The 15,558-nt window shown below is 40.1% G+C and overlaps 1 annotated feature.

Moving 5' to 3' along the window:
- Positions 5,671 to 9,818: an enhancer, noted in NCBI's record as "VISTA enhancer hs2166". NCBI's record gives its function as "enhancer in: heart[3/10] | other[6/10]" and the evidence as "EXISTENCE:transgenic organism evidence [ECO:0001131][PMID:17130149]".

Raw genomic sequence — 15,558 nt, forward strand, 5'->3', positions numbered from 1 at the left:
TAATCCGTTCACTTCCAGTCTAAGACTTGAGTAGAACATTAAAAATTAGAAAGAATACAAAGAAAATGAAAATTATAAAAAGGATTACAAATCTAGATGTAATTTTAAAGATTAAATAAGTAGTATAATGTAGGCATATGTGTGTGTGGGAGGGAGAGAGAGAGAGAGTGACAGAGAGAGAGAGAAAGAGAGAGAGAGAATGCTAATACATGATGCTGCTATTTTGAAGTACATGTGGAGGTTTTTCTTTCAGGGGCCAGTGACCAGGTCTCTTCCACAACCAATAACTAATAAGAATGAGCCAAAAGCCTAAATTGCAGAAACAAGTATTTAGCTGAATTTAAATTACAATTTTTGTATTTTAATATAAAATTAAAATGCAATTTTATACAATTATAACTGATGTTGTAAGTACTGAAAAAAACTACCTGGAATCTCTTTCTCAGTCAAGTCCCTAAGAATTACTTTGATAAAGCACTATTTAGAAGAGGTTGTATGAAATGTATCCAGATATGAAATGATTACCTTAAACATGTCCTTCCAGCTCAGTGTTTCCATGATTTGTGGAAAAGAACATATTTTAACAACTACAAATTTTTTACTCCTTGAAATCAGTTTCATTTCTACTTTGATTTTCCTGAGGAACATGGTACGACTATATTTTCAATTTTATGCCTCAGAACATCTCTGATGTTTTCTGTGTGCAGAATTCATCATTACTAAATTAGCAAACAGTGAATTCTATGTGACAACACAGAGAATCAAATGATGATAATATAAGCAAAACATTGATATTGAAACAACGTGTATGTCCTCATTTCCCCAGAAGGCAGAAGAAGTATTTATGTTCTTTCATAATCAAAAGAAGGATTGCAAGGAACTTTCTTGATTATAAAGCTGTAAAGAATCAGGTAATCCTGTATTTATTCAAATGGCATAATGACATGATTTTCAATCCTGCAAGGAGACATTGTTACTAAGTGAAAAATGAGTATTTAAACACAAAATATGAGATTAACTTCAGTCATGTCTTCTCATGTCCAACTGACTTCTACTGATAATAAGATTTATATGGTCCTAACTCAGATGAAACACACACACACCCACATTCTTGCCTCAGGTAACCTCATGGCTTGGCATAGCTAAAGCAGGGTCTTTCCATTATCAAATCTATGGACCAGACACTAATGCTTAGTGGGCGCTGCAGACACAAAGTTTCTGCATTTAAGAATTCTGCTATCTAGCATTATTATTTTAGAAAATAATAATAATCACCTAGATTTTGCACCTAAATTTCTTTAGGTAAGCTATGGTGAAAAAGCCTTATTTAACCAGACTTTTAATTATTTTCAACCACGTCTGACATCCCCAACATTTAATTAGTAAAAAATATGCAATAAATCCTTAGTCTAGTAAGTTCTGACAAAATCTACCTTCCCGCATCCTCCCTCTTTTTCTCAGCTGTTATAAATTGCTATGAATTTTTCCTCAGAACATATTTTGTGGCTGCTATCTGATACCTAAGTTGATTTTCTAACTTGCCACTGTTTCTACATACACTCTCTTGGATCTGGAAATGTTCTCTTTTGTGTTGGTCTTTGAATATTCTTTCAAAGAGGCAAACTTATAATGAAGGCATATGCTACCAAGACAATAACAGACCTCCTACTTTATGCAACAAAGGCTCACCCAGGGCCTCTCAAACAAGCCAATGCATGCTATTGCTACTTTTGCCAACTCTGGCTAGAAAAGGGTATCTCCACTGAAGGAACAAGTCAGGAGATGTTCGTGAATATAGAGAATGAGTTGTCAAGCTAAGAAAACCTATTAAAGTTTGCAAAAAAAAAAAAATCACTACTGAAGGAGCTAAGAGAATTTTTAAAAATCTCATTCCATCTGTTAATCAATCAAAATAACTATATTATATTTTAATGATTAACAAAAGTTAAGGCAGGGCGCGGTGGCTCACGCCTGTAATGCCAGCACTTTGGGAGGCCGAGGCAGGCGGATCACGAGGTCAGGAGATCGAGACCATCCTGGCTAACACGGTGAAACCCTGTCTCTACTAAAAATACAAAAAATTAGCCGGACCTTGTGGCGGGCACCTGTAGTCCCAGCCACTCGGGAGGCTGAGGCAGGAGAATGGCGTGAACCCAGGAGGCAGAGCTTGCAGTGAGCCGAGATCGTGCCACTGCACTCCAGCCAGGGCGACAGAGACTCCATCTCAAAAAAAACAAAAACAAAAACAAAACAAAACAAAACAAAAAACAAAAGTTAAACTTGAAAAGGTTTCTGTTTTGTCTTTTTTGTGCATTTAAGTTAATGGTTGAGTTCAGGCTTTGAAGACAAACTACATACTTGAGTTCAAATCCCCGTTTCCCAACTTACTAACTTTATGGTTTGGGGCAAGTTTCTTAATCTCTGTGAACCTCTCTGGACTATTATTATGAAGATAATAATAGCTTCTACTTCACAGAGTTTCTGTAAAGTTAAGAGAATGCGCTTTGAACATAGTAAATGCTCATAAAGATTTGTTTTCTTTTTTTACTGTATTTTAAATCTTCAAAATGAACTCAATCATCTCAAAGAGTTCTGACGTACAAACTACTGAAACCACAGAATCTCGAAATATCCCTATTGTATGATCCAAAGCCCTCCTTTTACATAGATGCTTAAACTGAGGCTGAGAAGCAACTCGTGGATCAATTTCAGAGTTAAGAATTGGCTAGGCTGATTCTCTTCCTGCTACTCTAGACTGCCACCATAATATGTCTTTTTTATTAATTTTTTGCCTTAGCCACAAGGATTGCCCTAGTCTTCTCAGCACTGGAAATTCCGATGAATGGACAGTCCAATGAAGACATGCCAGTTCATAACAAATTGTTATCTTGTATACCCAAGCCGATCAGAATCACCAGATGATTGCCATTTTTCAATTCAGCTTCCTTGGAAAAGTGAATTTAGGCTTTTAAATGAAGACTTGAATTCCTGTGTTCAGGTGGATATTAACTGTGACAGGGTCATGTAGGTTGTTTCTATCATGTTGCAATAGGGTCATGGGCAGGATGGATGGCTTCTTTCTTCCCCCAGAGAATACTCACTATGTCATTTCTACCAGCCAGATGGGACATCCACGTGGCTTTGGGGGAAAAAAAAAAACCCAGTTACTTGAAAACTAGCATGAAAAGAATGACACTAATTGACCCCACTTCCATTGGATATATATTTTAATGTTACTAGAATAGTGACAAACTGCATGAAAAAAGACCACACTTTTATGTTCAGTTTCTCTATGATTTATGGATCATTATCACTGCTGGGCAAGTGAAAATCAGCTTATTTGCAAATGCCAGCTGACCCATCATAAAATGGAAGGAAGTGAAATCTGTCTTTACCTTTGCATGTTTTTTCTTTATTTCTAGCACATGACATGCCTAATGTCTTCATATTCACTGCTACCTGCTTCTTCTAAAAACTGGCTATAACTAGTTGATAAGTTTTTTAATTGTTTGAGAAATTAATTCACAGTAAGGTATAAATCACAAAAAGCACTTTGTTACTCCTCCCTGAAGTGTGTGTCTTTAATGTTTAGAATATTTGTTGACTGCATAAACAAAGTGAATTTTCATTATCATTGAGCAATAGGTTAGGAGGTAAAGCAACTTGAGAACACACACTGTCCAGCATCCCTCCAATCACACATTTCACATCTGTCCATTTAGACCATTTCTGTACACATGATCACACCTGGGACTCAGGCCTCACATTCTGACCCATTGAGCATACTCTGTAGACTCAAGATTTCAATGATTGAAAATTCTGGGGTATAGAGTAGACTAATTCTCCTGTAGTGTCAAACAATGAAAACTAGCCATGGCAATTTTATGAACCATAGAGCAATTCTTCACATGAGCTTTTACATGGATTTCACATTATCCAACTCTGAATCTTTTCTGTAATACTGTTCTGCTTAACCTGTTGTCATCAACATAACTATTTACTTCAGATTCATGTTGTAATCCCACAGTTAAGAAAGAAGTACAATGATACACTTTCATCCTCTCTCATACCCGTAAGAGAATTAATCACAAGCAGTCTTTGTTGACTGACTTAACTTTATTGTAGCTGATTCTGCATGAAATGGGTGTAACTCTCTCCAAAGGTATAATGTCATTCACATATTGTTCCAGCTGAAGATTCAGCCACTGGGAGGAGGAAGATGTTACAGTAAATGTGCAGACAATTGCCTAGCTAAGTAAGGGGTCAGCTTTCAAGATACACAGTAATGTTCATAATGAACACAATCTTTTTTTTTTTAATTTTAACCACAATTGTCTTCAGACAAGCTGAAAAAGGTCATTGTGAGCATTATATCTAAACTATCCAGAGCAATTTTTTTCCCATTGCCTTCTTTGTATCAAACTTTTTTGCTCAATCAGTTTGCTTAATCTTTAAACACATCTCTGTCTCATAAAACCTCTACTTGGAGTGAGAATTAGAAGAGGTGATGTAACTCAATCTAGGTCTACTGAAAAAAAAAAGCTATGTAATTTGAACAAAATGGGTTTAAAAACAAACATTTTCAGCCAGGGGCGGTGGCTCACGCCTGTAATCCCAGCACTTTGGGAGGCCGAGGCGGGTGGATCATGAGGTCAGGAGTTCGAGACCAGCCTGACCAACATGGTGAAACCCCGTACCTACTAAAAATACAAAAATTAGCCAGGTGTGGTGTCACGAGCCTGTAATCCCAGATACTCAGGAGGCTGAGGCAGGAGAATCGCTTGAACCCAGGAGGCGGAGGTTGTAGTGAGCCGAGATCATGCCACTGCACTCCAGCCTGGGCAAGAGGGTGAGACTCTGTCTCAAAAAAAAAAAAAAAAAAAATTCCTGAAATTCTAGACACCAGAGACAACATTTTGGTTCTCTTCTCTTATAATATCTGAAAGAATGCTTTGACTCTCCAGTTCCCTGGGTGTATATAGATGCCAAAATTAATTAAATTATTATTTATCATGTTATGGGGTTTTCAATTACTTTTGCTACGGAAGTAAAGTTACTAGATAGAAGTAATTTGCCATTCACAGTATCTAACCTGGGATTCAAGAATAACAATATTGTAATTGTAGTCAGCACAGTTCATGAAGTGTGTCCTCCAAAGTAGATGACATTCACAAGCTCACGCCCTCAGACGGAGAAGCCCTGTGATCAAGGCTAAGGCTCCCATCTCCTTCCCTGTTGGAACCCATGTTTTTCCTCAACCTGAGAAGAATAGCAGAACACAAGTGGGTAAGTTCGTTATTGAATAGCCTTAAATGCGCTCCAATCATTTTAACAAAGGAAATCCTTCACAAATTTCAGAATGTTATTAACAAATTAGTACGTTGACTGAAATTTTCAAGCCACCACCAAAAAGACTAATTTGTAAAGTAAATTAAAATAAATAATTTAATTACTTTAAATTCTTGGGTTTTTTTAGAATGAAAATCATGTACTTTTGAAATTCTGCATCTCTCAACCAAAGTGCTTACAATTATCATTCTAGGTCATTTGGAAAGATTTTTAAACCCACTATTTTACTTCCAGGTTCACTCTCCGAAGCTACTGCATTGTTTCTATTTCACTTTTTCATTGCACATAAGACTGTCATTGTCTATCTACGAATGAATAATTGCCAAAAACCAGTTTTGTCTGTTTTTTCTGTCTTCTGAGGGGTTTTTAAAATTTATTTATTTCTGTGTATCTCCCTAAGCTCATTAGTCACAATGGGTCAGTGTGATGGTTTCCCTCTGAAACTCAGTAAGTACTGCTGTGCCTGCCCTAAAAGCCTGCAAGCCCTGTCATGCTGGTGATGGATTCCAGTCCAGGACTGCTGTTAGCAACCAAGGACTCCCCTGCTCTCTTTCTTTGCTATTTCCCTTATCTTTCCAAGAACTTCCATAAACAAAACTTAGGGTGAAACCGAAATGATAGATTTGTCATGAGTAGATAAAATTAACTTTCCCCAGTGTTGCACTCCTGTAGTGAATGCACATTTTGTTCATTTCCAGGGAGAAGGAGGATTTTTCATGTTGTTGATGCTTTCTTCCTTGGTTCCCCCTGCAAGGAAGGGAGCCTTAAAGCAGAGGAAGAACAGCCGTGTTCTCCACTGGCGTCTGAACTCCTCCACTTCACCCTGTCCCGGCAGTCTTAGCAATGCCCGCCCTTGACGAAATTGTGAGGTAGAGCAATTTTATCCACAGCGAGCCAGGCCCCCCATCACACCCCCACCCCAGTCTGGTGACAGTCCCTCATGTCCTTCCAGGAATCCAATGTTCTCTTCCCCTTTTCCCCTTTACCCTCATTTTACACTCTCTCTCTCTCAATTCCAAAATAACCTTGAAAATTTCTTCACTTATTCATGTATTTACACATTCAGCTGGGATTTACCGAAAGCCTACATTGGGCCAGGCACTGTTTTATTTGCAGGATACACGGCAGTTCACAGAGAAAAATCCCAGCCCTCACAAAGTTTACATCCTAGGGAATGGCAACAGATAAGAAATAAGTTAAAACACAGTCTTTTAGGTTACAATGTACCAAGAAGAAAAATACAGAAGAGAAAAAGAGGATGGGGAGCTCTGGGCACGGGGGGCGGGGGGAGGGTAATTACAATTTTAAAATCACTGGTCAGGGAATGTCCTTACTGAGAAGGTAACATTTGAGGGGAGAAAAGTGAAGAGTGACGGAAAAGACCTTGTACATTTCTGGAGCAGAAACTTCCAGGGAAAAGGAACCGCAAGTGCAAGGCTCCGAGGTGGGGCATGCCTGGTGAACCTGTGGCACTAGACTAAGATGTAAATAACTGACAGTGGATCAACATTCTGCCCTCCCAGTAATATGCACTCCAAGGAAGCCTTCTGCTGAAGGAATGCCGACATTAATCAGTGAATGCGAGAGGCCTTCTGTTGGGGCCTCCAGGCCTTGCTGGGGTTTCCCAGGCAGTTGCCTGTTTCATAATTGCCTCAATCCAGCATTATTATATTCTGATCACATTTTTAAACTACTGTGACTTAGTTCAAAAAAGATTGCATGAGATGTGTTCAACACCCTACTGATTCCCAAGAATAGACCATTTTGTTTCCTCTACTGCACCAAATGCTATTTTGCAACTGTCACTGTCTTTCCCTAATTCTCCTCTGCCTCATGAACAATGTTAACAATTTCCTTAAAACAGCTTGGCTCAGAGACTTTGCATCCAAAGCAGTCAGTCCATGTATACTGACTCACAAGGAGGAACATGTGGGGAAAGCTCAGTGAGACACTGTGACTCACGGCACTGGGACTCTCACTCTTTCGGGATGTTGACGTCTGAGGCTGTGATCTCAGGGCTGCCTATTTTTGCTCCCCCAGAATGAGGGGACTGTTCATTAAGGACGTGCTGGCTTCTCTGTGCTAGACAACAGGGCTTGGAGTCTGCTGGGCTTTATTATCCTGTGAGTTCTAACTGGGAAAGTCAACATAACTCTTCCCGCTCTCTTATTAGAGGCCTCCTCCACCCCCACGTTGGCCAGCGCTCCTCTCTCACCACCTAAGGCAGAAGCGTCTCTTGGTCCATCTAACTGGAGAGTCCATAAGAAATTCAAGATCCTGACTCCAAATGTTGGTGCTGTCATCCATGCCTTGACTTCCATGGAATAGGACCATGGGTCTTTCTCCAGGATTGAGGGGAAGGACGATCCTCTCCCATTTCTCCATGGCCAATGTAACAAACTGTCTATTCTCAACTGGGCCCTGAGCTCCTCCAGCTTCATTCACCCTGTCTGTCTTCCTCCTGACCACACTCAATTCCAGGAGTATCCTGGATACTTACACCTCTTTTTTTTCTTTTCTTTTGATAAAGATTTTTTTATAGAATGGAAAGTTACAGTTTCTAACCTAAACCTTTTCCTCTGAAACTTAAACATGTTTCTGCTTAAAGAAGCAATAGGAATATATTCCTTATAGAAACGATTTTTAGGACTTTTACATTCTTTTTCTGATACTGTCACTTTATTCTTTTTTTTGAGACGGAGTTTCACTCTTGTTGCCCAGGCTGGAGTGCACTGGCACCACCTCGGCTCACTGCAACCTTCACCTCCCAGGTTCAAGCGATTCTCCTGCCTCAGCCTCCCAAGTAGCTGGGATTACAGACATGCTCCGTCACGCTCAGCTAATTTTTTGTATTTAGTAGAGATGGGGTTTCACCACGTTGGTTGGGCTGGTCTTGAACTCCTGACCTCAGGTGATTCACCACCTAGGCCTCCCAAAGTGCTGGGATTACAGGCTTGAGCCACTGCACCTGACCACTTTATTCTTTACTAGGTTAAATATTCCCAGCACCTTCAGCCTTTTGTTATAGATCTTGTTTATCATCTTTGTATGTGTGATATTGTCCTCAGTGCCTAGTTCAGTTCTCTTTATAGATGTTTTACATAGATATTTCCATAAGATGTCATCAATCTGGACCTAGAAAAACATCAAAATAATAGTTGATCTTTCCTGGATACTTACACCTCTTAACTGTCATCTGGGTCACTCTACAACCCTGACTTACACCTACCAGCTGCCATCCTTATTCTGCTCTGGGCTGCAGTGTTGTTAGGGAAAACATACGTACACAAACTGACATGTGCGTGTATGTGTGCAAATGCATGTACACATACATACCACAGACCAACAGTTTCTTACCAGAACCTCTGCTAATTCACCCACAGTGGATATTCCAAACACTTTTCCTTATAATACTCCTTTTTCACTTAGAATTAATCCCTTCCAGTGTGTGGGCTTATTTCAACAAGTCTTAATTGATCATCTGATATGTGCTGGATGCTGAGGGTTGGGCTCACTGTGAATATCATATGGCCTCTGCTCCCAAAGAAGGAACAGCTTTGAGAAAAAGAAATGGGTGGAAGAGTAGACATGGATGAAATAACCATAAACTATAATGTGATTGCTGCTATGCAGGTTGTGTGAGTCATCTGGGATAGAGCCACAGAGTACTGAAGGAGAGGTAAGTAACTGGATATGGAGAGGATGGAAAAAGGAATAGAGGATGCCACTCAGGTCCTAAAGTGAGTGGCCAAGTTCGCAAGGCTGCCATTGACTGAGTGGGGCATATGAGAAAGCAGCAAGCTTGCACTGGAGAGAAAGTAAAGAGAGGAGATATTAATCTGTTCTCATGCTGCTAATAAAGACAAACCTGAGACTGGGTAATTTATAAAGGAAAGAGGTTTAGTAGACTCACAGTTCTACATGGCTGGGGAGGCCTCACAATCATGGCAAAAGAGAAGCAGAGGCATGTCTTACATGGAGGGAGACAAGAGAGAATGACAGCCAAGCAAAAGAGGAAACCCATTATAAAACCATCAGATCTCGTGAGACTTATTCACTACCATGAGAACAGTATGGGGGACACTGCCCCCATGATTCAATTATCTCCCACCAGGTCCCTCCCACAAAACGTGGGAATTATGGGAGCTAAAATTCAAGATGAGATTTAGGTGGGGGACACAGCGAAACCATATCAGAGGGAAAGCTTTTTTGTCAATATGCTGAGTTTGATATCCCTACAAAATTATTATGGAAGTGTGAGGTTCCCATGAAATATCCAAATAGTGAGGTCCCATGATTTGAGCTTGAGAAAGAAAGCTAAGTTTACACAATGAAAGTGACCACAGAATCATACCTGCTACTAAGTAAGAAGAAAAGAAGCAAAGTTTGGAACTCAGAAGACACACACATTTTACAAGTAGCAGAGGGCAAGAAAGGGATTGAGAAAGAACAGCCAGTGAGATGGGAACAAAATAAGGTGACTATTTCTGCTGCCCAAATCTATTTGCAATGCAGTTGTCCTTTCTCATTTCAAATGACTTGCTAGGCTTTTCTAATTGGATTTTGTTCTAATGTCTCAAATTCAACATGTTTTTACCAAAAGGAAAGTTTTTACTTCTGATTCCCTGTTTGTGTCAACATGATGAAAAGAAAGCTTTTTTCACAGCTAAAGCGAAAGCCCCTGACTCTTCATCAACAGTGTCTATGCTTTGAGTCACTCTGCCCTGGCAGGTTCAACACCTGGTTCACAATTACTCATCCTTTAAGAATCACTTCAGCAAACTTCCTCCAAGAAGCCTTTTCTAACCCCATAGTCCAAAGTGTGAGGTGGGAAACCTTCATTGTTCATATACTGCATGTGTAGTTCTACCACAGTGGTTATATTATTTTATTTTATAAGTAATTATAGTTATATTATTTTATAAGCACCTATTCTTGTTTCTTTCGATACAGGAAAACATTTAATTTTGCATTTCTAGTAAAATGAAAATTAAATGTTTGTTGAACAGGGACAAGGTAAATATTGAATAAACTAGTAGAACTAAACCAAAAAACAGATTCCTCCTCATATTTCCCTTCTCAGATTACCTGGGAGTATTTCACATTTTGTCCTGTGTCCATATGCCCTTTGCTAATCAACATTCTATGAGTAATCCTCCTGACCATGATAACCTTTTTTTATAACAGCTACACAACTCTATGATTTGTTTATAAAGCATTTTAAAAGGATAGCAACCAGATTTAGCTCTCACCTGTGAAACATTAATTCTAATACATATACTCATGAGATTTTCACTGGAATTAAGTGGTCAGCCACTTATCAGACCTTTAGCAAAGAACTGTCCATTTTTAAAATAATATTTAATGCTAGGATGTGTTGGCAGTAAGGAGCAGTGTTAGTAGAAAAGAGATATATTAATTTTCATTGATCTTTCTGAAACCCTTTAAAGTATTTTTGGTTTTAGATCATATTAAAGGGGTGATTTTAATGAGCTAATCACTTGAAGATTATTCTTATCTGTGTATGTGTGTGAAGCAAAGTATTCTGGAAAACATAAATTCAGGTAGATATTTTGAATATATCTAGATGTTAAAGGTAATTATTATCCACACAAAATATGTTTTGAACTAATCCATTCTAAATGTCTTAAGAAAAGTACATTTACCGTAATGTTCAACTAACTTGGGGGAGGAAAACATGAAAGTTAAAATTTTCACATCCTGTTAAGACTTCAATTTATTTTAAACAAATCCTTAGTCCTTTGTTGGTAATGGCTACATTTATTTTTGTGCACAGAGATGTATGAAACAGATTTACTCTAACCCCAGCATAAAGAAGTTAGGAGCCAGAGAGTTAGCTGTGAAACATCTGATTCTCAAGAAGTTCCTTCACCTCTCTGAGTCATAAGTTTTAGAATTTTTAAAGTAGAACTAATTCAGGAGTGACATGCTATGGCACTGGATGACATATTGGCACCTTCTCTCAAAGTCCTGGGGAAAATGTCTTATAGAAGGAATACTACCTTGAAACTAACTTTGATAGCCTTCAGGGGAGGTTGAATAATACAACAGAAATAAAGTTTGCATTGGCTATTTCTCATTCTGGAAGCTATGATTATCTTCATTGCTGAATAGAAACCAAAGACTTAATAATGAGGCATAAATACTTCTCTATAGGACTCAATTGCAAGGGCACAAATTTAAGGCAGGACTGACACATAGTTTCCTACAATGATTTCTGCAAGTGATTTGGTAAAGCCTCACTTCTTAAATCAGGAGTGCTCCCAGCATGATGGCAAACGAGAAGTATCCCCAAGGTGTGCTAATACCCACATCTAGCTCAAGAGAAAGGAGTGGAAATTAAGACATATTTCCTCCAGATTCAATGATGTAAAAAAGTTTACTGAGAGTATCCCATAGTACAGAGCACAGTTTGGGGCACTTCTGAGCACATTAATGAGCTAAGTCCTCAACTAATTCAGCCACCGTCACTTAAGTAACTGCATGAGAAAATCCACTCAGCAGCTAAGCCCCAAACATATGGAGAATGTGCTTCTCTCAGCTCAAATAGGCAGTGGTCCTTGGGGAACTGAGAAGAAAGAGTGTAATGAGGAGGTGGTGACTGTACTGGATCTTGAAGATTGGCACTTGGGAGAGAAGGGTGAGAGATGCTACCAGAGGGAGAGGGGGCATTTTGGACCACAGAAGGAACTCTACTATTTGAGCCAAATTTAATACCAAACCTCTCTTTCTAGTCTCCAAATAACCCTTTATGCTTATATAGGTGTGGAAAAAAAGTTAGATATTACATTTGAACTCAATTGAACATGGACACAAACAACGGTCACCAAGTCCCAGAACAGGTCATGTGAGCCCCTTGAGGAATTCATCCAGCACTGTTTCGAAGAAATCTCTATTTCAATCTACACCTATACGTTAGTTATTGAAAAACAACAGACAGTCGCAAAAACAAGTTGACCTTTTGTGTTATCTGAGCCCAGTCTCGAAGGGCCCTCGTGACTGGGCCTCATGCCGAACAACTGGTTACAAAAAGAGCTAGGGTCCCAGACTGCAACGAAGCTTCAAGAGACATCTTCTTGTCTGTGTACAGATGAGTGGCCGACTCTGGAGCCCAGGCTGTTGCTTCTCAGCCTGGTGATGAATCCTCCATAGTCTGAGGAGTGTGTATATGTGTGTGTGTGTGTGTGTGTGTGTGTGTGTGTGTATATATATATATATATACACACACATATACACACATATACATATATATCTTTTCCCTTCTCCCCTTCCCATTGCAATTTGCTTATTATATCAATTTTCTTATTATATCATTGACTTATTGTATCATTTGTTTATTATATCTGCATTGCCATTTACGTGGGATAAAGGTTGTTTACTCCTAAAAGTACTGTGCGTGGCTTCTCCCCTCACAGGTCTCCCACACAGAACATTTTTGGCGTCACGAACAGGATCTGAAAGCGAAAGCATGCCATTTTCCACCACAAGGACCGGGCTGGGAGGTCCCCATATTCCGGGATGGGAACTCCCCAACTTCTCCTCCTTGGCCATTGAGTGGTCCAATGGAACTGGCCTTTGTGAAAATTGGGAATCTAAATTAGTGCATTTTGAACCATTGGCTGTGCATGAGGTGCTGCAGGGAATCCCAGTTGGTAAAGTGGAAACTGAGGGAATTTACTGGCATGGATGGTGCTTGCTTACTGCTTATAAGTTAATGTGTCAAGATAGGAACAATAAAAATGTAAGCTGGAAAAGGAAAATGCTAATTTGATTTCCAAACTGGCCCTGGCCCAATGCCAGGCCTATGTCTTGATGGATCAGGCTCAAATCTATCAGCCTATTGCTGAAAAGGCAGCTATTCAAGTGGCCCAGTCAGGGTAAAACTGAAGAACTAGTCAGCCAGGGATCAGAACAGGTAAAAACTCAGCTCCTGTCTCAAGAATGGGAAATTAACCCCAGTAAAATTCAAGGACCTACACAAATTGTAAAATTTCTTGGCATCCTATGGAATGCAGGGAAATAGTCCATTTTACCAAAGGCTAAGCTAAAATACTAAAATGTGCAACCCCTACCATTAAAAAGGAGGCTCAGAAATTTATTGCCTTGTTTGGATTCTGGAGACATCATATTCCCCACTTGGGTGACATTTTACAACCTCTTCAGGCAGTCACTAGAAAAGGCTATGACTTTCACTGGGGAGAGGAAGAGAGCATGGCTTCTGAACAAGTTAAACAAGTGGTGCAACTGGCCCTGGATTTATGGCCCATACAAGATGGACCAGTAGAACTGCAAGTAACTGTCCTAGATCAACATGCTAATTGGAGCCTCAGCCAGGAACAAGATAGGAAGAGGGTACCTTTGGGGTTTTGGACCTGGAAACTGCCAGAGGATGGCAAAGTTTATACACCTTTCTAGAAGCAATTGTTAGCTTGCTATTGGGCTTTGCTGGAAATGGAGCACCTCTGCTTCAACCATGATATCTTTATGAGGCTTGAAATTCCTATTATGACTTGGGTCATGAGTTCCCCCAAAGCTCACCGGATAGGGCACACCCAAGAAAGTAGCATCATCAAATGGAAATGGTACATACAAGACCAGGCTAAGCCAAAACCAAAGGGGGTATCACTTTTACATGAGGATATATACAAAACTTGCCAGCTCAGGAAACCACCAAGCAAGTCCTACAGATAGGGAAGGAAACCTCCCCCGCCCAATGGGGCAAATCCTTTAAAGAACTAAGCCCAGAGGATCAGAAACATGCTTGGTTTACTGATGGATCTACCAAATACATTGATGGGACCCGATGCTAGAAGGCCATGGCTCATAACCCTGTTAAAAAGCATAAGCATTTCTGATGAAGGAAGGGGTGGGAGCAGCCAGCTGGCTGAACTAGTAGTGGTCCTCTGAGCTATTCAGGAGGAGGCCAGAGGGATTTGCCACTTGAATACCAACTCTTGGTCAGTAGCAAATGTTCTTACCACCTGGATGCCCCAATGGCAACAAAACAAATGGTTAATTGGGAATGAAGAGGTTTGGGGTAAACAATACTGGGAAGATATCTGAATCCTGGCACACACTACCATTATCACTGTTTTCCATGTTGATGCTCATGCGTCTGTTTGCTCTTGACAGACTATTTCATCAGCAGGCAGATCAACAGGCCAAAATTTCCACCATAACTGCAAACTTGAATGTGGATGAATGGATTACAACATGTTCAAGACTTGCAATGAGAGGCTTTATAATGTATGGTGGTATAATTGATAGTGCTTACCGGGGAGAGTTAAAGGTCATTTTATACAATACCACTCCAGATTCTTTTGCTATAAAACCTCAGATGCAGGTTGCTCAATTGTTAGTGGAACCTTGTCAGCAATTAACCCCTGAGGAAATCTGCCCCAACAGAGGCTACATGCAGAACTGGGGGATTCAGATCCTGGAGCCAAAATCCTGGAGCCAAAATATGGGTACAGCGTCCATCAGGTCCCACCCTTAAGACTGGTGACCTTGTAGCTATAGGAGCAGAAAATGAAGCACACTACAATTTCCTAAAGATGAAAAACAATATCATGTTCCCCTCTGTTTTTGTTATCACATGGAATAACCTATCTACTAATGGTCAGCACCTGTGTCTTTGTGTCTGACGCCAAGATTAAATTCATCAACTGGGTAGCCACCGCTGCAGAGGAAGCCAACCACAGTCAATGTTGGCTATGTGGGAATGAGCTACCTTGGAGAATCCTCCCTGCTAACATTTCTGAATGACTATGTCGCTACCAATGGGACCACAACAACAACACTTGCAATCCAACCTGGACTTTCTTTGACCAAACCAAGCCTTGGTACTCTGGGGTTTCTCCTGCCAGACAATTGTCAACACATGCTCCAAATCAACAACATTACCCCCAATGAAACACAATCTCTTTCCTACTTTTATAACACATTAGTACACTATGATTACAGTAACTCCATTGCTGTCCCCTGCGGGGCCCTCTGGGTATGCGGATCCTATGGGTAGCGATACCTGCCCCCATATTGGATGGGGATATGCACTTGGGGGTGGCCATTAATTCCATTCACCATCCGGGATAATATTCCCCTCCCCAGTAATCTAGATGCTTACAAACATCCCTGGTTAGAATGCATCCGACTCCGTAGGGGTGGTATCCTATCACAGCATTCTCCCCT

The sequence above is a fragment of the Homo sapiens genome, chromosome 18, assembly GCF_000001405.40.
Source record: "Homo sapiens chromosome 18, GRCh38.p14 Primary Assembly".
In the NCBI taxonomy this organism is placed as follows: domain Eukaryota; kingdom Metazoa; phylum Chordata; class Mammalia; order Primates; family Hominidae; genus Homo; species Homo sapiens.